At 39.8% G+C, this 26,397-nt stretch overlaps 2 protein-coding genes and 1 pseudogene across 36 annotated transcripts in view; 1 reads left to right on the top strand and 2 right to left on the bottom strand.

Moving 5' to 3' along the window:
* Nucleotides 1-14,194, top strand: part of FBXL13 (F-box and leucine rich repeat protein 13) — a 263,608-nt gene extending 249,414 nt beyond the window's left edge. For 12 of the 19 annotated variants that reach the window (XM_017011850.3, XM_005250207.5, XM_011515928.4 and 9 more), the window contains 2 exons: nucleotides 3,180-3,343; nucleotides 11,852-14,194. In XM_017011850.3, coding sequence (XP_016867339.1) covers nucleotides 3,180-3,343; nucleotides 11,852-12,041 — 354 coding nt within the window. In that variant the 3' untranslated portion in view covers nucleotides 12,042-14,194. The other 7 variants (NM_001287150.2, NM_001111038.2, NM_145032.3 and 4 more) reach the window with 5 other exon arrangements.
* The window catches only part of FAM185A (family with sequence similarity 185 member A), a 101,725-nt gene that overhangs the window by 25,341 nt on the left and 49,987 nt on the right, over nucleotides 1-26,397 (bottom strand). For 12 of the 17 annotated variants that reach the window (NR_146987.2, NR_146989.2, NR_146985.2 and 9 more), the window contains one exon: nucleotides 16,158-17,093. Coding sequence is in view for 3 of the 17 variants with exons in the window: in NM_001145268.2 (NP_001138740.2) it covers nucleotides 16,981-17,093 (113 nt within the window). In the remaining 14 variants the exon portion in view is untranslated. Of the gene's footprint in view, nucleotides 1-16,157; nucleotides 17,094-26,397 lie in introns of those variants that run through there. The other 5 variants (NR_146986.3, NR_146984.3, NR_146981.3 and 2 more) reach the window with 1 other exon arrangement.
* LOC100422696 (SNF2 related chromatin remodeling ATPase 5 pseudogene) lies at nucleotides 25,722-26,393 on the bottom strand (annotated as a pseudogene).

Here is a 26,397-nt window from a genome sequence, read left to right as displayed (position 1 = left end):
GATGAGCATGTTAACAGGCTAGTTCAGACCTTTCTTCTTCTTATAAAGCCACCAGTCCCACTCTCATGATAACAGGTTAATCCACTGATGAGAGCAGAGCCTTCATGACCCGATTACCTCTTAAGGGCCCCACCTCTCAATACTGCCACATCTTGGGTTAAGTTTCAATATGTGTTTTGGAGGGAACAAACATTCAAACCATAGCATACAAATCCACTTTCTGAAATCTATCCTAAGGGTAACAGTCCAAAACTTGGAAAAGACTGTATTTATGAACAGTCATCAAAATGTTATTTAAATAGTAAAAACTTGAAAACAACGGAAATGACCAGAAATATGTAAATGATAAACTAAACTACATCTACTAAATAAAACATTTTATAATAATTAAAGATTGTAAATATGAAGACTGTGAAGTAGTATAAGAATGCACTAGGAAAAACAAAAAAGCAAGATGAAAGCGAGGTTTGGTGGTGTGCAGCTATGGTCCCAGCCACTTGGGAGGCTACGGCAAGAAGACAGCTTGAGCCCAGGAGTTCCAGGCCAGCCTGGGAAACATGGTGAAACCCAACTCGGAAAAAAAAAAAAAAAAAAAAAGGCCGGGCATGGTGGCTCACGCCTGTAATCCCAGCACTTTAGGAGGCCAAGGTGAGCGGATCACTTGAGGTCATCAGTTTGAGACCAGCCTGACCAACATGGTAAAACCCTGTCTCTACTAAAAATACAAAAATTAGTTGGGCGTGGTGGCGGGCACCTGTAATCCCAGCTACACAGGAGGCTGAGGTGGGAGAATTGTTTGAACCTGGGAGGCAGAGGTTGCAGTGAGCCGAGATTGTGCCACTACACTCCAGCCTGTGCAACAGAGCAAAATAAAAAAAAGAAAGAAAAAAAGAGGATGCAAAATAAATGTAATTACTGTATTTACAAATCTGTTAATGGGGATAGGAATGAGAAACGAGCAAGAAATACTCCAGAACATTAAAAGTAGTTATGTTAAGTGATAAATGTGTAATTGCTTTCCTTTGCTATTATTGCTATTTTTTTGGCAATGTGCTTATATTATTTCTAAAATATAAAATAATTTCATTTAAAAATAAACCAAAACATTTTTTCAAGGAATCAAAAGTAGTTGTGTTGGAAGTAACATAATCTGCCCAATGAGGCTGGGAGCAGGACCTTATATCTGGGAGTTAAAAATGCAGCAAAGTTGTTTCCATCTGTAGTTCCCAGCCCTTAATCCATAAATCCCAACAACATCACATCAGTCATTGAACAACATGAGCTACTGATCTACAGGAACTGTCAGGCTCCTTTTCAGCTCTCCTAGTATCAAACCAAACCTGCTACTCTGAACTCCACCTCCCCTGGACTTTTCCATCACCTTGTTGTCCTTCCTTTCTTCTACAATTCTGTGGGCCTTTTTTTTTCTTTTATCAATGACATCAGATCCTCAGAGATCAACCTAGTATGGCAGGAATGTCTGAGGCATTTTTGTGAGAGTCAGTTATAATGTTTAACCTTGGTCCTGAGCGTGTTCCGGAAACAAAGCGTGTTTAGACAATGGCAACGTCTCTTTTTCCAAACTTAAAAAGTGTATGTTCCAAACTGAAGTGATTTTTCTTTTAACTTTATGTTAAAACAAGAGCCAAGCCTCACGGCCTATGTTTTTCAGAATGTTCAAACATTTAAAATAAGAAATTGAATCCAGTTGGAAAAAAATTCCTTTGGAGAGAGTAATCTAGTTGATTCTGCAGCAAGGCTCAGTTTAGCTATAAATTTGAAAGCTTATCCTGGAGTAAGTGAAATACTCTAAGTAGTATACTTGAATTACCTCTGTAGGACATCTGGGCAAAACTGTGATATGTTGGAACCCTTGGCAGGATATTTCAGAGCGGGATTTGTGTAGTCTCTGTGGCTTCTGCTTCTTTCTCCCCTTGCTTCCAAACATCTGTCTCACCTACTTGTCCCTTTCCAGAACTAGGTTACTCCATCTTTTTTACATCTAAACCATCAGTGATGTCCAGGTCCCTTCTCATAGTAATATGAGGCTGTCTGCAGATTAACTTTGGGGGATATATATTTTGTAGTTTTGTAGCATGTAATGTTATTAAACATATGTTTTTAAATTGGTGATGCCTTAGAGAGGATTTTAAATTTAAAGCCAAATCCCATCTCTATAGCATTTCATAAGTTGCTCATATTGGTGTGACAGGTATTACTAAAAAATTTTGATGAAGTTTTCCATCCAAACCAGAGGACTCTTAAATGAAAATAACAGCAAAATCACAACTTTTTTTGTGTGGGGGGTGGGCAGGGCACAGGGTCTTGCTCTGTCACTGAGGCTACGTCACCCAGTGCAGTGGCGTGATCTCGGCTCACTGAAGCACTGACCTCCCAGGCTCAAGCAATCCTCCCACCAGAGCCTCCCAAGTAGCTGGGACTACAGGCACGTGCCACCATGCCCAGCTAATTTTTGTATTTTTGGGAGTTTCACCATGTGGCCCAGGCTGGTCTCGAACTGGGTTCAAGCAATCTGCCTGCCTCAGCCTACCAAAGTGCTGGGATCATAGGCATGAGCCACTGTGCCTTGCTAAGATCATAATTTCTATTGGTGCTACTTGAGGCAGATATTTTACTGTTCTGACCTTATTTGGAAACAGTTAAACAACTCACTTGAATTGTAGGCCCATTATGTGACAAGCTGGGTGAAAGAGAATATGCAAGTGTCTGATTTTGTTACTCTATTTGTTATGAATTGAATGTTTGTCCTCCAAAAATTATTATGTTGAAACCCTAACTCCCACTGTGACAGTAATAGAAAGTGGGGCCTTTGGGAGTAAACAGATTTAGAAGAGGTCATAAGGGTAGAGCTCCCATGATGGGATTATGACCATATAAGAAGACAAAGACTAGAGCTCTCTCTCTCTCTGCCATGTGAGAAGATAGCAAGAATGGAGGCATCTGCAAATAAGGAGGGACTTCCCAAGACACCAATTGCAGGTACCTCTATCTTTATCTCAGTCTTGGACTTCCCAGCCTCTAGAACTGTGAGAAATAAATGTTTGATGTTTAAGCCACAGTCTGTGGTAGTTTATTATAGTTGCCCAAAGTGACTAAGGCACTGTTCTTCCCTGAGATAGTGTTTGAATAACCAGTACTTACTTTGGCTCTGTGTTCAGATTACTGACTCAGCAATGGAGATGTTATCGGCAAAATGCCATTACCTGCACATTTTGGATATCTCTGGTTGTGTCTTGCTTACTGACCAAATCCTTGAGGACCTTCAGATAGGCTGCAAACAACTCCGGATCCTTAAGATGCAATACTGCACAAATATTTCCAAGTAAGTATGTACCTGACTATGACAAACTTTTGAGAACTACTTTCTGAGAAAACATAGTATATGGCTATAAGGTTCATAATACATAGCAGCTTTCAGTGTTAGGAAGTTTCATTTCATTTTATTTTTTGCCTAATTGAAGCTAACATTGTGAGTTGTTCTAAAACGGCCTTTGTGGTTTCCTATCCCTTTTCCAGTAGGCCTTTTACTTTAAGCATCTTCCCTTCCTTGACTAAGCAGGTGTCCAAAGCTTTAACTCTAGCTCTTCCTCTGCTCATTTCTCAAAATACAGTCCATTCAGTTAATCTCCCCTAGAGCATTAAGAGAATCATCTGATTAAGCCAGCTCACAAGTTTTTGCCTCTTGACTGAGGGCAAAAATGTGCAAGTATTTTAACTGACCTGATAAAGTAACATATGAAATGCTTAAAATGAGAATCCTTGACCATTCCCTGACATAGAAGGTAAGGTTCTATTAGGCAGATGTGAAAAATTAATACTATGAATTAATATTATCAAAGTATAAAGTGTACAATGTGGCTCAAGCATGTAGATTTCACAGAGGAACTTTCTTAATTAAGTAGTTATGGCATGAGCTGAACCATGAGCCCTGGTTTCTTGAGGCCTGAGGAAGAACATGGTTTCTTATCCAAGGAAGTGTGTGTTAAAATGAAATGGAAAAAAGAAAGAAAAATTACTTGTAAAATAGACATTCCCACTGGGCCCAGGCCTGCAGGGGTAGGGCAGCCAGCTGGAGTTGGATCAGAGAGAAGGGGGTAGGTCCTTGAAAATTTTTGAGGAGGGTTGGAGACTCAACCCTTCCTGATAGGTCTGGAGATAACTCTGATATGAATACTGCTAACCTCATTTAAAGGATATACAATGAAATAGGGTCCTAGGAGTCTCTGCCAAACTTGTTAGATTATTAACAGACAACTTTCAGCAAGATGACAGTGAATGAATAACGTGTTACTCAAAGGAGTTTAGCTTCTAATTTTTTGATTATATTTTGCCAATCACTATTTATAAGAGGTAATATTATTGAATTTCTAATAAGTAAGATTCTAGAATGAATGGAGACTTTCTGGCAAGGGGCTCTTTGAACCTAATCATGGTGTGATGCTATGGTTTGAATGTGGTCCCCCAAGTTCATGTGTTGAAAATTAATCTTCAATGCAACATTATTGAGAGGTGTGACCTTTTCAGAGGTGATTAGGTGATGAGGGCTTTGCCCTCATGAACAGACTAATGCCGTTATCATGGAAGTGAGTTAGTTATCATGGGAGTGGGTTCCTGATAAAAGGATGAGCTAGGGCTCCTTCTTTCCTGCCATGGGATGATATTGGACTTCCCAGCCTCTATAACTATGAGCAATAAATTTCTTTTCTTTATAAATTACCCAGTCTGTAGTAGTCTGTTATGGCAACACAAAATGGACCAAGACATATGGGACACTGAAGTATGATTAATATAGTGAGTGGTCAAGAAGACCCAGGATATCCAGTAACATCCGAATCCTGCCTTAACTGCTCGGTCTTCTTGCTAGGTCCCTAGATTTAAAAAATATACGTGCAAAAAAAATAAAACAAGGCATAGTAAGACTTGACTACTAGCTGAGCTTTGTCCCAAAACCCCAATGTAGAACTCTAATTAACCAGCTATAGCTGTGAAAAATTCCATTGTCTAAGCCATGACAGCCGAAGGCCTATTTTGTCTTCTGCAATCAAACTTGGCTGTCCCTATGCACAAGAAGCAGGCAGAGACTTGGCCCTAATGCTTAGAAAGGGGCTGGTTTGGTGTGTGCACTTCGTTGTCTAAAGAGGCCACACCACTACCTTTTAGTCTCCCTGAAAGCTCCACCCTTGCTTAGCTCTAGCAGGAAAGAGGCCTAGAATCCCTCGATTCCATCTTTGTCTAGCAATGGAGAAAGACAGTCCTCACTGTAGAGTGGCTTGGAGAGTCCCAGTGTTTGGACTAGTAAAGCTCCAGAAACATCTGTCTTTATGTTCAACATCTAGGATAGGTTGCTACTTGTCAGTTAGGGGGCTCCTGAAATACCCTGGCCTCAAATTTTTTTATTAGAGAAGCTGTAAGGGGGCCTAGTTGCATGCAGCTTTCTGCGATCAGCTCCGGGTGCTCTATGGAGCAGCTTCGTTTTGCATTTAGATCCTTCAGTGCAGTTGGAAATGCACAGTGTATGTAGACCCTTCAAAACTCAAGCCCTTGATGATCTCTAATCCCTTACCTATGCTCACTATCTAATCAGGGCCAGTGTGGCTCCCTCAACTGCAGAGGCTTTGATTTGTCTGGGTGAAACAGAACCTTTGGCAGGTGGGATAAGAGAGATTTTTCTGGCTTGGGAAGAAGCTCAATGTCTTTGAATCACAAAGCAATGCTCTCCACATGCTTGATTCCATTTTGAACATGAAAACAATGTATGATGCAGCCCTTAAGGTCCAATTACAGCCGTCAGAAGAGGCTGTTTTATACATAAATTCACTCATACTCAATGGAATCTGAAACTACTGCACCAGCTTTGCAAATCAAAGATGTCTGCTCAGCTCACCCTTTCTGAACCAGAGGAGTAGCAAACTTTTGGTCAATGAGCAAATTGGCTGTAGCCCTTTTGCAGGAGAGTTTCCTGCAGAAGATATGGCTGGCATTCTACCAACCCCAGAGTCTGAAGGGTTTCCAGGAAGTGACCCCAGAAGCACCGTGTGGATGCAAGATAAAGGCTCCTTTATTTCAAGGAGGAATAAGTAACAACTATGATCAGAAAACGACAAGCTATTTGTATTTGAAGCAGCTGTGACAGCCAGCCATTCAACTTATGGCCCTCTGTGGGGAAAGGCAACAAGGTAGGAGTGAGAGAGAGGAAGAAAGACCCTCACAATGGCCCCCACAACCCAGGAGGGCCTGAACCACAGAGAACCTGAAGAATCACTAATTGTATAGTTAGCGAAAAGGCTAATCCAAGAACAGAAAACCAAATAACGCATGTTCTCACTTATAAGTGGGAGCTAAATGATGACAACACATGGACAGATGGATGGGAACAACACACACTGGGGCCTGTCAGAGGGTGGAGGGTGGGAGGAGGGAGAGAATCAGGAAGAATAACTAATAGATACTGGGCTTAATACCTGGGTGATGGAATGATCTGTGCAGCAAAACACCATGGCACACGTTTACCTATGTCACAAACCTGTACATCTTGTACATGTACTCCTGAACCTAAAATAAAAGTTGGAAATAAATTTTTTAAAAAAATAAAGGGAACTTTTGATATATTTCTATCTGGAGCCCAAAACCTTCAATTCTAGAGAACTAGTAGAGAAAGTCTTAGTGGCCTTCAGAGCCCCAAATCACAGTATGAAATTCCTGGAAGGCCTTCTTTAGCAGTTGCTAGAAGCTTAAACTCGGACAGTCCCTACTGCTCAGGCATTCTAGGAGATCTGTGTTGATAAAAAATAAAACTCTTATCAGAGTTCTCCTCTCTAGCTCATGGAAAGGTTCAAGCCTTTCTGATGTGGAGCTGTTGACTTTTATTATCAGTATGAACAAATAATGTTATTTAACAATTATTATTTGCCACGTACTGTGCTAAATCCTATTTTACAGATATTGCCTCACAAATACACTTTATCATCAAAATGGATAAGGAAACTGGTTTAAACAGGTTAAATAATGTGCCCACAGCCACACAAATAAGGAGAGCCATACTTTGTACCTAGGTCTTAATCATACTGTGCTGCTCTTCGCCTTTATATTACATTCTCAAGCTTTTAAAAAGCTCTGACATTCAAGGGATGTGGTCAGTAAGGGTAGACACGTGCTCTGTTTTGCCTAATTTATGTCTGATGCACAATAAGAGAGGCTGTGGATTATGAGCAGTCCTTGGTGGTGGCTCCAACATTCCCTTTTTTTGCCTACTCAAGAGATTAGAAGGAAATGTGAGCTAAGGCACACAGTGTTACTACAGGGCTAACCCTGAATCCCTTTTAATTTATAAGAAACAAAAATCACTAACAAACTTCAGTACAGTGTTATTATTAACCATCTAATGTGAAATGTTACAACTATGACATATCATGTTTGAAAATCACTGTTCTATACTGATCCAAAGAAACCTCTCACCAGGATAAATGAGTAACCATTGCAGCAGATTGGTTCAATTCCCAAATCATTTCATACGGGGTCTCACAGTCACTTAGGCCAAAGCAGAATGGAATGCAGTCAAAGAATTCCATATGTGCTCTATGGAATTTAGAACACACAGTGGTTCCTAAGAATACATGTTTTTTTCAATATTTCCTAGCTCCCATGTGCTGATCACACTACAGCATCAAGCTATTAAGAGAGAAAGGGGAGGGGCAGGAGAGAGAGAGAGGTTTCTCCCAGAAATATAGTTTCTACATTTTTAACTTTCCTGATACGATTCAAAATACATGTGTAAGAGCTTCTGCACAGCAAAAGAAACTATCAACAGAGTAAAGATAATGGGAGAAAAATATTATCAAATTATGCATCCGACAAAGGTCTAATATCCAGAATCTAGAACTTAAACAAATCAACAAGCAAAAACCAAATAAGCCCATTAAAAAGTGGGCAAAAACATGAACGGACACCTCTCAAAAGAAGACATACAAGTGGCCAACAAAAATATGAAAAAATGCTCAACATCACTAATCATCAGAGAAATGCAAAATTACCATCACAATGAAGTATCATCTCGCACCAATCAGAATGGCTATTATTAAAAAGTCAAAAAATAAAAGATGCTGGTGAGGATGTGGAAAAAAGGGAATGCTTTTACACTGTGGTGGGAATGTAAATTAGGTCAGCCAAAATAGAAAGCAGTATAAAAACTTCTCAAAGAACTAAAATAGAATTACCATTTCATCCAGTAATCCCACTACTGGGTATCTACCCAAAGGAAAAGAAATAATTCTATCAAAAAGACACCTGCAGTTGTATGTTTATTGCAGCATCATTCACAATAGCAAAGTCATGGGATCAACCTAAGTGCCTGTCAGTGGTGGATTGGATAAAGAAAATGTGGTACATTCAGACCATGGGATGCTACACAGTCATAAAAAATAATGAAATCATGTCCTTTGCAGCAACATGGATGCGGCTGGAGGCCATTATCCTAAGTGAATTAACAGAGAAACAGAAAACCAAATACTGCATGTTCTCACTTAAAAGTAGGAGCTAACCACTTGGACATAAAGATGGAAACAATAAACACTGGGAACTCCAAATGTGGGGAGGCAGGGAGGATGGCGAGGGTTAACAAAGTACCTACTGGGCATTATGTTCACTATTTGGCTGATGGGTTCAATAGCAGCCCAAACCCCAGCATTATGTAATATACCCACATAACAAACCTGCACGTGTACACCCTGAATCTAAATTTTTTTTTAAAGGTGCGTGTGTGCAAACACACAGCTACATAGGATGCTATGATAAAGAACTCAGAAAAACCTTCTGGCAGCCACTTGCCGATCTCTTCTCTTGGCAAGGTCCTGGGTCTTAGGTTAGTCAGTCCGTGTGAGGATGCCAAAGGTGGTGAGGACAGCTAGTCACGGCTAAGGATTTTCTGAAGGGCAGGAAAGAAGTGGAATAGGGAATAGTCTATACTAGTATCCATAGCTCTCTAAAAATAATCCTAGATTTGCTCCAGGACAGATTCATATTTTCTGTTTTTCCCTAGGACCACCCTTGCTGTGAAAGCACTTCAGACTAAAACAGGCCCTAAAGACATACCAGGTGGAGGAAGCCTTAACCTCCCAGAACTTGAGTCTGGAAGGAGAGTGGGTCTGAGATCTGATCCTTTGCTCCCCTCCAGTCAGTAAGCATCACTTCCAATAGTCAGGGACCCACTGATGTTTGGTTTCACTAAAGCTGTCTGTGGGTGGACTGGAGAGCAGAGCTAGGGTAAGGGGGACAGGGACTAAGGAATGAGGACATTAAAGAAATGCATATACCAGTGGGCACTTCACCCATGGCTGGGGTTCAACATGCAGCTCATTTCGATTCTGTCCCATCACACTGCATTAAATGAGTAGTCTCCCTGTTCACTCACTGTTTTCCTTATCTTATATTAAGGAGTCAGCATTCTCACTTTCCTTTTTCTTGTTATTTTCTCAAACCCCCACTACTTGCTAATTGTTTTATGTCACAATTACCATCTAATTTACCCTGGCTTGTAGCTGACTGAGCAACCATAGGACTCAATATTTACACTTTCCCAGACTTATCATTAGTAGTACTTATCCTCTTACCAGTTATCTAGAGCCGTCAAAACTGTTGCTCTTCTGACATTAAGGTAAGATGTAACTTGGTGAATGAGGATTTGCAAATCTTTTACTCCCTAAAACAAGCATTTCCTTTTCCTATAGGTCAAGATCATTGTTGCCTCTAACTGTGCTACTCTTGTACTACAGTCAACATCAGTGGCATTGAATGATTATGAACAACTGTGAACTGCAGTGTGTGTCCAGAACTCTGGTGTTTGGGAGGCAGGGGGCAGGAGGGTGTTGGAAATAGGAACATAAGAATGCCCCTTCTAGACCAGCAATCCAGCAGAAGCCAAGAGGGTTAAAGGACTTCCCTTCTTGGTGTAAGCTGCTGAAATCTCTCGTTTGAGCTATTCATGATGAGTTTCAGGGAGATGCAAAGAAATGTAATAAACTCTTAAGTAACTTACTACCTTCTTAAACAAAAGGAAAATAACAAAGTTTAAAATTATAAATAATTAATGCCCTGAAGCTATGTAATAGAAAGAAATTAATTCTATGATCAACTTCCTGTAGATGTTTAGAGGAGGAGAAGACTGGGTTTGAGCCATTTCCAAGGAGGCTGGATTGGTTTGGAGTTTTGAAAAATGGATAATGTTTAGACTGATAGAGATGGGTGAAGGGTAATGATGGAGCCTTGCTGTTTGTTACATGAAACTGATGGTGCTAATGTTATATGCCTCAACATTTGGTATTATATTTCAGTAAGTCTTAAGGGGAAAAATGTTCAGAAAATGTGTTGAAAGATATGATAATCTCACCTTTATAGAATTGAAAAGGGAGAAATATCATTAGGAGAATAATGTGGGAAAAGCAAAAGATATAAACCCACTACTTTTGCATAGTAATGTTCTACTTTGAGGATATGTAAAGATTATATAAGAGGTTTAAAATGCAGGCTAGCACCTTAAAAAAAGATTTAAAAAATTAACAGAATGCAAAACATTATCTTTGACAATAAACTTACCATTTTCAAAACTGAGAATAAATATTTCTCTGAAGAGAATAAACTTGTTTGCCAAGTTTTAGTCCATAGGGATTGGTGGCTCCAAACTAGGAATTAGTATATGATAATTGCTTTTACTCAATTTGTTCTTTAAGTTTGTAGAAGTTTTGTGTGAGAGCCAATAATAAGCTAAAAAGCAATGTGCTTAGAGGCAGAATTAGGAATGCTTTGGTTACCTCCCTGTTAAGTTTGGTTACAATTATTTTAATACATCTAAAGTTTGATTTAACTGAAATAGCATTTTAAACTGTTATCTCTATGTTGTTGGTTTTTTTTCTTCCTATTTCATTGCCTTACCTGAACTCATATGGCCATTCAGCACAAACTTAACTCGAAGTGTATGGTAATGCCAGCTCCATATCAATGACTCAGTTTCCAGACTTTTGCAATTAATAACTCAAGGTAACATACGGCAAGAGTGGGGAAGGTAGTGCCTTCATGGGTAAACATCATAGTTACTCATTTCTAATCGTACAGAAGTGGTCAATTACTCATCTCCTCTTTAGTACTAATCTCGTGATTCAAACCAACTTTCTAGGAAAGGAAATTCTTCCTTCTGTCCTCAAAATGGCTTTGTTTTCAAGTTAGACCTACTTTTTTTCTGATGCATTCTTTACTTTCTTGTTTCCTGCTAAGAAAGACTATAACAGTATTTTTTAATACTGTGTTATAGTGTTGTGACACCTTTGAGTCACAAACCTTCTCATAAAAATGTGTATTATAGACAAAACTGCATGAACTTTCAGGGAGTTCATGGACCTCCCTGAAGTTCATCCATGTAGTCAAAAGGGATCTGTGAACTCTGGGTTAAGAGCTCCTGGCCTGGTGCATGGTCAGCCTTCACAGGTAGGCTGGTTAGGTTACTCCCTCATCAGAGAAACTAGAAATACCAAGGAAGGGGCTTACTTAAAGCAGTATAAATAAATAGAGGCCTCAGTGTTCCTCTTCCATGGCCATGTGTAGTTTCCTTACCCATTCACTGTATCTGTTAATTTCTGAACTGGCTGAATCAGAGTTACTGAGGCTTTGGGACCCTGTTTATTTGTACACTTACCCATATCCTCACTCTCAGCAAGGCAAGAGAGGTCTCATGTGAATTCAGATTGTGACAGTGAATTCCCTAACTCCAAATTTGGTTGAGTTTGAAAATTTTGCACTAGGGGTTACTTCTGCAACTAGCTAATGCTAAGCACTGTTATTACAGGAAGGCAGCTCAAAGAATGTCATCTAAAGTTCAGCAGCAGGAATACAACACTAATGACCCTCCACGTTGGTTTGGCTATGATAGGGAAGGAAACCCTGTTACAGAGCTTGACAACATAACATCATCTAAAGGAGCCTTAGAATTAACAGTGAAAAAGTCAACATACAGCAGTGAAGACCAAGCAGCGTGACCTTCAGCCTCAAGCAGGAAGAACAAAAAATCAAGAACTTGGCAAGTTTTCTCCATTTGTTGCAAGTATGTTTACTAGCTGAATCTCAATAACAATGTAAACAAGCAACAAACCATCTTCTGATTCTTATTCCAACTACAAATATTTCCAAACACATCAGTAGTTCTTCTGTCTAAATAATCATGATTTAAAAAAGAAGCCAGGCCAGGAGCGGTGGCTCACACCTGTAATCCTAGCACTTTGGTAGGCCAAGGCGGGTGGACCATAAGTCAGGAGTTCAAGACCAGCCTGGCCAACATGGTGAAACCCCATCTTTACTAAAAATACAAAAATTAGCCGGGTGTGGTGGTGGGCGCCTGTAATCCCAGCTACTCAGGAGGCTGAGGCAGGGGACTTGCTTGAACCTGAGAGGCGGAGGTTGCAGTGAGCCTAGATCACGTCACTGCATTCCAGCCTCGGCGACAGAGCAAGACTCCGTCTCAAAAAAAAAAAAAAAAAAAAGAAGCCAAATCAAGTACTGACTACACAAAATTTCTGCCTAAATTTAATCAAACCAATAGTTTTGATGAGATTATAAAATCTACAGTTATATGAAACAACCCTGAGAGATGAGACTTTTTTGACAAGAAATTAAGAAATTTTTCTTTAGAAAGGAAAAAGAAAGCAGAGATGGCCATATGTCAAACTAAGAGTTTGAGCCAGGGGAATAACTTTAAGGATCTGTAACGCTTTTTAAGGCTTTATAAAGAATACAGACATATATTAATATTTTCAAAGGAAATGTGGCTTTTCTGTGGTTTCCAGACATTTAACAACAAAAGAGAACTAAATGCCGCCAATTAACTCTGTACTTATCTCAACATTTGACTTAGTCAGGGGCAAATTAAATAGAAACAAGAACTATCTGAATAGAAAGAATGTCCCTGCAATGTCTCAGAAAGACATCTCTTTAATCAAATTTGCACAACGGAGGAATTCTTAAACTATGCTATGCCAAAAAAGATGCTCCCTCAATTTTATGCTAGGAAGTATGGGTTATTAATTGCATATCTACATATTAGTTTTTAATAAGCTTTAATCCGTAGGTTTTAGTATATGTGCTGCCGAAGTGAGCACATCTGTGGGTTTTTACCATTATTTGATATTATGTAACACTGATGTTGACACAGTCCAAGAGAAAACACAACTCTGTTCTGACTGCCGCAAACAAGCCTTGTCAGCAATATCAGATCAGCCTTTTAACCTTTCTATTTCCTCAATTACTTATCTCTCACGTGGAGTTAATTCTCTTTTTGTATCCCACAAGTTTCAAATAAGGATTAAAAACTTAAGATAAAGCATCGTTATTTTGAAAAGTTTTAAAAAGATTGTACAAAGTATTATTATAGGCTACCTTGTATTAGCTAAATGCTTTTAGTAATTCTCCCCCACTGAGGTTGACTTGCAAAGTTTTTGAAATAAGGTAATATTACTTAGCTGTGGAAAGGTTCCTAGGAGTGGGCACACAGGCAACAGAATCATTTGAGTGGGAAGTTTTAGACCATAGCCAAGAGACATAAGATGACATAAGAGTATGATTTTAACCTAAATTTGGAAATTTCTGGCAGCTGCATTAAAGATGTTTTCAAAAATCTGATCCCTAAGTGCTTCATGCACACAACTGGTGGAACTTATAAAAGAGGCAATTGCTTTCTAAAGGAATGACACCTGCACTGGTTAGACCCCGGTAAGAAACACACCCTGTTATGTTCTCCAGAAACCTAGCAGGTTGCTTTACATTCAGAGCTTGCTCCAAAGCTCTTTGAGTAACATCCTTTCTTAAACAAGAACAGAAGACACATTCATTCATTCTGGGGAGACAAATTTTACAGCTACATAAATGAAGAAAAGGAGTAGAAAAAGTGAGCTATGAAAGGAGACCAAGAATAGGGATACAGGTAGAGAAATCTTTTAAGTTTTCGATGCAAACTACTCAAAATATCAAAGATATTAGTTAGGTCTTTAGCCCTTACGTATTTCATATTCATAGGTCTGTGTCCAAGAGAGTAAATTATGGCAGCTTTTTCTTTTTGTCTGGGACTTAACAATGTGATCCAAATATGTACAATTCCATTAGTAGCTTTAAATATAGTTGACTGCTGTTATGCTTATGACTTTTCTGGCTGTGGTTAGCTAATTTATTTTTAGTCATGAAAATGTTTATGTAATTGCATGAGGGTGAAAAAAGATTATCAAAACTGCCTCACTGCTACACAGTTTCCTCTACTTAATAGTATAACACACCACAACCATACCAAATATACCAATGTGTGAGTATCTTTCAGACTTGTATACATTCTGATTTCATGAAGGGTGAACTAAAAGGAGACTCTGAGATATCCTACAAAGCTGACTTTTGTTTCATAAATAAGAAGTTAAAAACAGAACTCTAAAGAAATGGAAAATTAATGAAAAGGAGGCTGGGCACAGTGGTTCATGCCTATAATCACAGCACTTTGGGAGGCCAAGGCAGAAGGACAACTGGAGGCCAGGAGTTCGAGACCTGATGAACATAGTAAAACCCATCTCTATAAAAAATTTAAAAATTAGAGCATGGTGGCACCTGCCTGTAATCCCAGCAACTCAGGAGGCTGAGGCAGGAGGATGCCTGAGGCCAGGAGTTTAAGGCTTCAATGAGCTATGATCATGCCACTGCACTCCAGCCTGGGCAACAGAGTGAGACCTCGTCTGAAAAAAAGAAAAAGATCATCATAAATAATAATATTTGGAAAGGTTTATTAAAAATTAGTGTTTAAGAATGGACTTCTCCTGGCCCGGTGCAGTGGCTCACACCTGTAATCCCAGCACTTTGGGAGGCTGAGGCAGGCAGATCACATGAGGCCAGGAGTTCAAGACCAGCCTGGCCAACATGGTGAAACCCATCTCTAGTAAAAATACAAAACTTAGCTGGGCATGGTGGCGTGCACCTGTAATGCTAGCTACTGTGGTGGCTGAGGCATGGGAATCGCTTGAACCTCGGAGGCAGAGGTTGCGGTGAGCCAAGATTGTGCCACTGCACTCCAGCCTGAGTGGCAGAGCAAGACCCTGTCTCAAAAAACAAACAAAAAAAGAACTGACTTATCTTAATCATAAAAAATATAATCCAAGCGATTTAGGCCATTCTTGTTTTGCTATAAAGGAATACCTGAAGCTGGGTGATTTCTAAAGAAAAGAGGTTTAATTGACTCACGAGGTTTAATTGGTTCTGCAGGCTGTGAAAGCATCGCACGGGCCTCTCTGCTTGGCTTCTGGGGAGGCCTTAGGGAGCTTTTACTCATGGCAGAAGGCAAAGTGGGAGCAGGCACATCACATGGCAAGAGCAGGAGCAAGAGAGAGACGGGGAAGATACCCACACTTTTAAACAGTCAGATCTTGCAAGAACTCACTATCATGAGGACAGAACCAAGAAGGTGGTGGTAACAATTAATGAGAAATCTGCCCACATGATCCAATCAGGCCCCACCTCCAACACTGGGGATTACATTTCATCATGAGATTTTGGGGGACAGATATCCAAACTACATCACCAAGAGATAGGTCTGGTCTTATAGTATAGTTATAGTATTATATAACTTATTTGTTTATTTTAATTAATTTTTTTGAGACGGAGTTTCACTCTGTTGTCCAGGCTGGAGTAAAGTGGTGTGATCTCGGCTTACTGCAACCTCTGCCTCCCAGGTTCAAGCGATTCTCCTGCCTCAGGCTCCCAAATAGCTGGGATTACAGGGATGAGCCACCATACCCAGCTAATTTTCTTTTTTTTGTATTTCTTGTAGAGATGGGGTTTTACCATGTTAGCCAGGCTGGTCTCAAACTCCTGACCTCAAGTGATCCATCCACCTTGGCCTCCAAACTGCTGGGATTACAGTCATGAGCCACTGTGCCTGGCCAGTATTATATAATTTAAATGTTCCAGGAATAGAGATGTTTGAAAGAAATGGAATTCATAAAATATCTTTATACAGTATACCTTTATAAAAATCTATCTTCATACATCAGGCTATAAAATAGCTGTTTCTTTTTTCCTAATTAGCTATATCTTAAGTTACACAAAAGATATTAAGAATCAGTAGCAACTGCTTCACATATTTGTTTTTTATTTACAGCTTAAATTTACATTGATGCCATAAAAGGTACTAAGTAGAAAACCTGTCATGTGAGAGCTACATTATAAAGAATTCTAAGCTAATTGTCCCCACATGATGGATGCCTTTGTATAATCTCCTTTCCTTGAGTGGGAGTGAAAACTGAATGTGATGGGCCATCACTCCTATGAATGTTACATTATATGGCAAAACAAAGGTTATCCTGGGTGGGCCTGACCTAATCAAGTGAGCCCTTTAAAAGTATATATTCTTCCAGCTGGCTGCAGAAGAAGTCAGATATTCAAAGCATGAGAAGAACTCAGCGCATCACTGCTGGCTTGAAGATGGAGGGGCAACATGAGAAGGCATGTGGGTGGCCTCTAGAAGCTTAGAGTGATTGCTGGCTGACAGCCAGCAAGAAAATGGAGACCTCAGTCATCCAGTCACAAGGAACTGGATTTTCCCAATAATCTGAATGAAGTTGGAAGTAGATTTCTTCCCAGAGACTCCAGATGAGAACTCAGCCTGGCCAAAATCTTGATTTCTAGCCTTGTGATTCCCTGAGCGGAGAACCTAGACATAGCTGTAAATGAGTATTATTTTATGCTGCTAAATTTGTGGTAATTTGTTACAGAGCAGTAGAAAATGAATACAATAGCAAAGCACAAATTTTGAAAAAGCCTCCCAAAACAGTTCACCAGTATTCATTCTCAATTTGTTGTTTTCAACCTTTATATGAATGGTGGGATTTACATTTTTGTAGTCACAGATCTGCGAATCATTGTTAAAAATCATAAATCCAACTCAAATCAGTTTTAGTCCTGCAGTTTCAGGGACTGAAACCAACTTTGCCTTCTAAAACTTACAGTGCCTTTTGGGGCATCAGCCTTAATCCATTTTTCACGTTTGCTTGCTTGATTCATGAGTCCTAAAACACAAAATTGCATAAAATTATATCAAGAGCATTAATTGACCACATAGATCCTAGCAACACATCTCTGAAACTGAAAAACACCTTAGAACATCAAGAATCTTGGTAAAGATAGTCTGAACTGGGCAGGAGTTGCAAAGAGGTTATCTGGGCTTGCTCCCCTCCATTCATTTTCTCAGAACAACCCTGAGAGGGAGGCTACTCTGTGTTTTGTTTTGTTTTGTTTGAGACATAGTGTCACTCTGTTGCCCAGGCTGGAGTACAGTGGCACGATCTCGGCTCACTGCAGCCTCTGCCTCCTGGGTTCAAGCGGTTCTCCGGCCTCAGACTCCGAAGTAGCTGGGACTACAGGCACGCGCCACCATGCCCGGCTAATTTTTTTGTATTTTTGGTAGAGATGGGGTTTCACCATGTTGGCCAGGCTGGTTTTGAATGCCACACCTCAGGTGATCCACCCACCTTGGCCTCCCAAAGTGCTAGGATTACAGGCATGAGCCACCACGCCCAGCCTACTCTGTATTTTTTTTTTTTTTTTTAAGTGGAGACGGGGTTTCACCATGTTGGTCAGGCAGGTCTCGAACTCCTTACCTCGTGATCCACCCGCCTCGGCCTCCCAAAGTACTGGGATTACAGGCATGAGCCACCAAGCCTGACCTCTGTTTTTTATTTGTACAGGATGAGTATCCCTTATCTAAAATGCTTGGGACCAGCATTGTTTCAAATTTCAGATTTTTTTTTTTTGAATATTGGAGAAGACATACTAGTTGAGCATCCCTAATCTGAAGATCTGACATCCAAATTACTCCAATGAGCATTTCCTTGTTTCATATTTTGGAGCATTTCAGATTCTGGATTTGGAATGCTCAACATATATTATTTTTAAATGCAGTCTTTAAAAAGAGCTTTACTGGAGTATAACTGACAAGATAAACTACATGTACTTAAAGTATACAATGTAGTAAGTTTTGACATAGGTAAAAATCTGTGAACCATATTTCCTTAATCAAGATAGTCAACATATTCATCACTCCCAAAAATTTCTTTGTAGTCAAGTACAGTCTTTCCCTCATGCCCCTCCCTTCCTGTCACCCTCCGACCCCCACCCCCTTCAATCACTGATCAGCTTTGCGGCACTATGGATTAGTTGCTCTTTCTAAAATCTTATATAAATGGTATAAATGGGAGTATACAGTTATGCACTCTTTTTAAAAAAATCCGTCTTCTTTCATTCAGCGTAATTATTTTGAGGTTCATCCACAGTGGACCATGTATAGGTAGTTTCCTCAATGCCTGCTCATTAGTACTTTGCTGACTGTTCATGGCACCCTCCGCAATCCCCTCTGTGCAGCTTGCTCCCCTCCGGAACTCTTTCTTATGAACTCTGGGCAGCCCCGTCTCCCCAGAAGCTCAGCTCAGAAGCTCAGTCTCCTCCACTCAGGGAGTCTGCTGGGCTCTGCCTGTGCGACCTCTCCCTGCCCTGCAGCCTGGAAACTCTTTCAAGGTCATAGGCTGTGGCAATCACAAAGCTCCCCTCGTTTGTTTCTCAGATCTATTCTTCTAGTTCTACGTTTTCTTTACAAATCAAGGTTATGAAGGTGTTATATCTCCTCTGGAGTTCCACTGCACTTCTGGATTTAAGAAACCAGTCAAATTGAGACAGAACAGGGACCGCTTGTAAGGGCCTGTGGACTCTTCTCAAGCACAAAAATTTAAAACAAAAAAACACAAACAAACAAACAAAAACTTGGGTTCATTAAAAAATTCCAGGCACCTACCTAAGTAGCCTTAAAAAGCAAATGAGCAGGCAGGCGAGGTGGCTCAGGCCTGTAATCCCAGCACTTTGGGAGACCAAGACGGGCAGGTCACCTGCGGTCAGGAGTTTGGGACCAGACTGGCCAACATGTTGAAACCCCGTCTCTACTAAAAATACAAAAATTAGCCAAGTGTGGTGCCAGGCGCCTGTAATCCCAGCTACTTGGGAGGCTGAGGTAGGAGAATTGCTTGAACCTTGGAGGCGGAGGCTGCAGTAAGCCGAGATCATGCCATTGCACTCCAGCCTAGGCAACAAGGATGAAACTACGTCTCAGGGAAGAAAAATAAAAAAAGCAAATGAGCAACTTAATAAACAACAACAACAACAACAAAATAACAGCTTAAAACAATAACCAAAAAGGTTAAAATAGATGTTTTGTTTTCTATAAGAACCAAAGACAAAATCTGAACATATGTCTCTGAGTTGTTTCTCAAAAACCTGGACCCCCACACCAAACAGATCTGCTGGCACATGGACTTCAGATAAGGGGAAGCTCAGGACTAAACTGACCATTGTACATTTCTCAGGGGCCTGGAGGAGGTCACACCCATGAGCCAGAACTAACATTCTTTTCTGCGGATCCCAAATTTTTAGATAAAGCTTCACTTCCTTAACCAATCAGAAATCAAAAAATCTTTAAATCCACCTATAACCTGCAGCCCCCCTGCTTCTAGATGTCTTGACTTTTTAGGTCAGACCAATATGCAGCCCCCATGTATCAATTTATGACTTTGCCTATAACCTCTGCCTCCCCACCTTTATTTTATTTTAATTTATTTATTTTTAATTTTTTTCCATAGTTTATGGAGGTAAAGGTGGTGTTTGGTTGCATGAGTAAGTTCTTTAGTTGTAATTTGTGAGATTTTGATGCACCCATCACTTGAGGAGTATACACTGCATCCTATTTGTAGTCTTTTATCCCTCACCCCCCTCCCAACCTTTCCCCCACGTCCCCAAAGTCCATTGTATCACTCTTATGCCTTTGCGTCCTCATAGCTTAGCTCCCACATTATCAGTGAGAGCCTATGATGTTTAGTTTTCCATTCCTGAGTTACTTCACTTAGAATAATCATCTCCAGTCTCATTCAGGTCACTGTGAATGCTGTTAATTCATTCCTTTTTATGGCCGAGCAGTATTCCGTCATATATATATATTCCAGTTTCTTTATCCACTTGTTGATTGATGGGTATTTGGGTTGGTTCCTTGATTTTGCAATTGCAAATTGTGCTGCTATAAGCATGCCTGTCCAAGTATCTTTTTCGTACAATGACTTCTTTTCCTCTGGGTAGATACCCAGTAGTGGGACTGCTGGATCAGATGGTAGTTCTACTTTTAGTTCTTTAAGGAATCTCTACACTGTTTTCCATAGTGGTTGTACTAGTTTACATACTCACCAGCAGTGTAGAAGTCTAACCTGATCACCACATCCACACCAACATCTACTGTTTTTTGATTTTTTGATTCTGCCCATTCTTGCAGGAGTAAGGTGGTACCATATTGTGGTTTTGATTTGCATTTCCCTGATCATTAGTGATGTTGAGCATTTTTTCATGTGTTCATTGGCCATTTGTATATCTTCTTATGAGAATTGTCTTTTCATGTCCTTAGGCCACTTTTTGATGGGATTGTTGTTTTCTTACTGATTTGTTTGAGTTCATTGTAGATTCTGGATATTAGTCCTTTGTCAGATGTATAGATTGTGAAGATTTTCTCCCACTCTGTGGGTTGTCTGTTTACTCTGCTGACTGATCCTTTTGCTGTACAAAAGCTCTTCAGTTTAATTAAGTCCCAGCTATTTATCTTTGTTTTTATTGCATTTGCTTTTGGGTTCTTGGTCATGAAATCCTTGCCTAAGCCAATGTCTAGAAGGGTTTTTCTAATGTTATCTTCTAGAATTTTTACAGTTTCAGGTCTTAGATTTAAGTCTTTAATCCATCTTGAGTTGATTTTTGTATAAGGTGAGAGATGAGGATCCAGTTTCATTCTCCTACATGTGGCTAGCCAATTATCCCAGCACTATTTGTTGAAAAGGGTGTCCTTTCCCCACTTTATGTTTTTGTTTGCTTTCTCGAAGATCAGTTGGCTGTAAGTGTTTGGGTTTATTTCTGGGTTCTCTAATCTGTTCCATTGGTCTATGTGCCTATTATTATACCAGTACCATGCTGTTTTGGTGACGATGGCCTTAAAGTATAGTTTGAAGTCAGGTAATATGATGCCTCCAGATTTGTTCTTTTTGCTTAGTCTTGCTTTGGCTATGGGACTCTTTTTTGGTTCCATATGAATTTTAGAATTGTTTTCTCTAACTCTGTGAAGAATGATGGTGGTTTTTTGATGGGGATTGTGTTGAATTTGTAGATTGCTTTTGGCAGTATGGTCATTTTCACAATATTGATTCTACCCATCCATGAGCATGGGATGTGTTTCCATTTGTTTGTGTCATCTATGATTTCTTTCAGCAATGTTTTGTAGTTTTCCTTGTAGAGGTCTTTCACCTCCTTGGCTAGGTATATTCCTAAGTACTTCATTTTTTTTTGCAGCTATTGTAAAAGGGGTTGAGTTATTGATTTGATTCTCTGCTTGGTTGCTGTTGGTGTTTAGAAGAGCTACTGATTTGTGTACATTAATTTTGTATCTGGAAACTTTGTTGAATCCTTTTATCAGTTCTAGGAGCTTTCTAGAGGAGTCTTTAGGGTTTTTGAGGTAAACAATCATATCATCAGCAAACAGTGACAGTATGACTTCCTCTTTACCAATTTGGATACCCTTTATTTCCTTCTCTTGTCTGACTGCTCTGGCTAGGACTTTCAGTACTGTGTTGAAGAGGAGTGGTGAGAGAGGGCATCCTTGTCTTGTTTCATTTCTCAGAGGGAATGCTTTCAACTTTTCCCCATTCAGTATTATGTTAGCTGTGGGTTTGTCATAGATGGCTTTTATTACATTGAGGTATGTCCCTTGTATGCCGATTTTGCTGAGAGTTTTAATCATAAAGAGATGCTGGATTTTGTCTAATGCTTTTTCTGCATCTATTGAGATGATCATGTGATTTTTGTTTTTAATTCTGTTTATGTGGTGTATCACATTTATTGACTTGCATATGTTAAACCATCCCTCCATCCCTGGTATGGAACCCACTTGATCATGGTGGATTGTCTTTTTGATATGTTGTTGGATTCGGTTAGCTAGTATTTTGTTAAGAATTTTAGCGTCTGTGTTCATCAGGGATATCAGCCTGTAGTTTTCTTTTTTGGTTGTATCCTTTCCTGGTTTTGGTATTAGGGTGATGCTAGCTTCATAGGATGAATTAGGGAGTGTTCCTTCTTTCTCTGTCTTGCGGAATAGTGTCAATAGGATTGGTACCAATTCTTCTTTGAATGTCTGGTAGAATTCTGCTATGAATCAGTCTGGTCCTGGACTTTTTTGGTTGGTAATTTTTAATTACCACTTCAATCTCCTGCTTGTTATTGATCTGTTCAGGGTATCTAATTCTTCCTGATTTAAGCTAGGAAGTTTGTATCTTTCCAGGAATTTATCCATCTCTTCTAGGTTTTCTAGTTTATATGCGTAAAGGTGTTCATAGTAGCTTTGAATGATCTTTTGTATTTCTGCTCCCATTTTGTTTCTTATTGAGGCTATTTGAATTTTCTCTCTTTTTTTTCTTGGTTAATCTTACTAATGGTCTATCAAGTTTATTTATCTTTTCAAGGAACCAGCATTTTGTTTTTATCTTCTGTATTTTTTTGTTTGTTTGTTTCAATTTCATTTAGTTTTTCTCTGATCTTGGTTATTTCCTTTTTTCTACTGGGTTTGGGTTTGGTTTGTTCTTGTTTCTCTAGTTCCTTGATGTGTGACCTTAGAATGTCAGTTTGTGCTCTTTCAGTCTTTTTGATGTACGCATTTAGGGCTGTGAACTTTCCTCTTAGGAGGAAAAGTGGCCTTTGCTGTATCCCAGAAGTTTTGATAGGCTGTGTCACTATTGTCCTTCAGTTCAAAGAATTTTTAAATTTCCATCTTGATTTTGTTTTTGACCCAGTGATCATTCAGGTGCAGATTATTTAATTTCCATGTATTTGCATGGTTTTGAAGGTTCCTTTTGGAGTTGATTTCCAGTTTTATTCCACTGTGGTCTGAGAGAGTGCTTGATATAATTTCAACTTTCTTAAATTTATTGAGGCTCATTTTGTGGCCTATCATATGGTCTATCTTGGAGAAAGTTCCATGTGCTGTTGAATAGAATGTGTATCCTGCAGTTGTTGGATGGAATGTTCTGTATATATCTGTTAAGTCCATTTGTTCCAAGGTATAGTTTAAATCCATTTTTTCTTCATTGACTTTCAGTCTTGATGACCTGTCCAGTGCTGTCAGTGGAGTAATGAAGTCCTTCACTATTATTGTGTTGCTGTCTGTCTCATTTCTTAGGTCTATTAGTAACTGTTTTATAAATTTGGGAGCTTCAGTGGTAGGTGCATAAATGTTTAGGATTGTGATATTTTCCTGTTGGACAAGGTCTTTTAGCATTATATAATGTCCTTCTTTGTATTTTTTTTTTTTTTTGAGACGTAGTCTCCCTCTGTGGCCCAGGCTGGAGTGCAATGGCGTGATCTCAGCTCACTGCAACCTCTGCCTCCCGGGTTCAAGCAATTCTGCCTCAGCCTCCCGAGTAGCTGGGATTACAGGTGCCCGCCACCACGCCTGGCTAATTTTTATATTTTTAGTAGAGACAGGGTTTCACCATATTGGCCAGGGTGGCCTTGAACTCTTGACCTCAGGCAGTCTACCCGCCTCAGCCTCCCAAAGTGCTGGGATTATAGGCATGAGCCACTGCACCTGGCCCCTTCTATGTCTTTTTTAACTGCTGTTGCTTTCAAGTTAGTTTTTCTGATATAATAGCTACTCCTGCTCACCTTTGGTGTCCACTTGCATGAAATGCCTTTTTCCACCCCTTTACCTTAAGTTTATGTGAGTCCTTATGTGTTAGGTGAGTCTCTTCAAGCAGTAGATAGTTGGTTGGTGAATTCTTATCCATTCTGCAGTTCTTATCTTTTAAGTGGAGCATTTAGGCCATTTACATTCGATGTTAGTATTGAGATATGAGGTAGCATTCCATTTGTCATTTTATTTGTTGCCTGTGTACTTTGTTTTTTTGTTTTTTTTTTAAATTGTATTTTTGTTTTATAGGTCCTGTGAGATTTATGTCTTAAAGAGGTTCTGTTTTGATGTGTTTCCAGGATTTGTTTTAAGATTTAGAGCTCCTTTTAGCAGTTCTTGTAGTGGTGGCTTGGTAGTGGTGAATTCTCTCAGCATTTGTTTGTCTGAAAAAGACTGTATCTTTCATACACAATGCCTAGTTTCGCTGGATACAAAATTCTTGGCTGATAATTGTTTCGTTTGAGAAGGCTGAAGATGGGCCCCAATCCCTTCTAGCTTCTAGGGTTTCTGCTGAAAATCTGCTGTTAATCTGATAGGTTTTCCTTTATCGGTTACCTGGTGCTTTTGTCTCACAGTTTAGATTCTTTCTTTTGTCTCAACTTTGGATAACCTGATGTCAATGTGCCTACGAGAAGATCTTTTTGCGATGCATTTCCCAGGTGTCCTTTGTGCTTCTTGTATTTGGATGTCTAGGTCTCTAGCAAGGCCAGGGAAGTTTTCCTCAGTTATTCCCCCAAATATGTTTTCCAAGCTTTTAGATTTCTCTTCTTCCTCAGGAACACCAATTATTCTTAGATTTGGTCATTTAACATACTCCCAGATGTCTTGGAGGCTTTGTTCATATTTTCTTCTTTTTTCTTTGTTGGATTGGGTTAATTCAAAGACCTTGTCTTCGAGCTCTTATTTTCTCTCTTCTACTTATTCAATTCTATTGCTGAGACTTTCCAGAGCATTTTGCATTTCTATAAGTGTGTCTGTTTCCTGAAGTTTTTATTGTTTTTATTTATGCTATCTATTTCATTGAATATTTCTCCCTTCACTTATTGTACCATTTTTTGGATTTCGTTATATTGGGCTTCGTCTTTCTCTGGTCCCTCCCTGGTTAGCTTAATAACTAATCTCCTGAATGCTTTTTCAGGTAAATCAGGGATTTCTTCTTGGTTTGGATCCATTGCTGGTGAGCTAGTGTGATTTTCGCGGGGTTGTTAAAGAGCCTTGTTTTGTCAGAAAACCAACACAGTTTTCTGGTTCCTTCTCATTTGGGTAGGCTCTGTCAGAGGGAAGGGCTAGGGCTGAAGGCTGTTGAGATTTTGTCCCATGGGGTGTTCTCTTGATGTAATACCATCCCCCTTTTTCTATGGATGTGGCTTCCTGAGAGCCGAGCTGTGGTGATTGTTATCTCTCTTCTGATCTAGCCACCCAGCAAGTCTACCAGGCTCTGGGCTGGTACGGGAGTTGTCTGCACAGATTCCTGTGATGTGAACCGTCTATGGGTCTCTCAGCCATGGATACCAGCATAGTATTTCGGGTGTCTCTTGGGTCCTGTAGGAGCAATCTGCTTCCTTCAGAGGGTCTGTGGGTCCTCTTAGGTTTCCTGATTTATTCCTATGGTTGTTCTGGAGCTAAAATTCATGACGCGAGCCTCTACACGCTGCTCTGTCCGTCAGAGTCAGAGCCGCAATCTAGTCTTGCCACTCCCGGCCACTGGGCTCTCTCCACCTTTAAAAACCCTTACCTATAAGCCATCTGAGAGTTCAAGTGTTAAGTATAATCTGCCTGATTCTCCTTGCTTGGTCCCTACAAACAAACACTTTCCCTTCTCTTGCTACAAGCCTTCGTTTAGATATGGTATAGATACGTAGTCTTATTACGCTGGGCGAGTGGACCTCCGTTTGGTTCAATAACAAAATCTGAACTGAGGAGAGTTGTGATTACACTATTGCATTTCATCACAAATATTTTCCTTGTTGAATCCAAGCACACAAAATACAGAATGATCCTCTTCCTCAGTACAGTTTTTCCCTCTGTTATAATAGTACCATGATATCCTCAGCTGAAGAAAAGGTGCTAGATGCTTTGTACCATCTGATCTTTTTGTCAGGTGCTTTTCTGATGCAAATTATTCTCTGAATTCTTATCTCTCCCTTTCACTCTGAGCCATAATCTTGTCTATGTCCTGGAGCTCATTGCGTTTTTCCCAGAACACAGTTGAGTATTCAAGGACCTCCCGTAAGCTTTTTCCCTCTTCTTCTCTTGCTATATTTTCAATATCACAACCCCATTTTAATTAGCTTTGATAAGCTGGTTAAAATCTCTGAGTTCAATTGGTAAATCCCTGTGTTAACTCTAACTCTTCATCAATAAGGGGTTCCGCTTATTTAAACTGTTCTTTTTCTGTGCCTATGCTGCATTTGGTAGGTCGTGATTTTGCGGTACCTTGCACCCATTTGCTTTTCTGTAATACAGAGTTTCTTTTTCTAGTAATTAAAATAAATGTTGGGCCAGATGCGGTGGCTCACGCCTGTAATCCCAGCACTTTGGGAGGTCAGGGCGGGCGGATC

This window comes from Homo sapiens, chromosome 7 (genome assembly GCF_000001405.40).
Source record: "Homo sapiens chromosome 7, GRCh38.p14 Primary Assembly".
Classification (NCBI taxonomy): Eukaryota; Metazoa; Chordata; class Mammalia; order Primates; family Hominidae; genus Homo; species Homo sapiens.
Note: the sequence above shows the minus strand (reverse complement) of the source record. Positions and strands in the feature narration are given on the sequence as shown.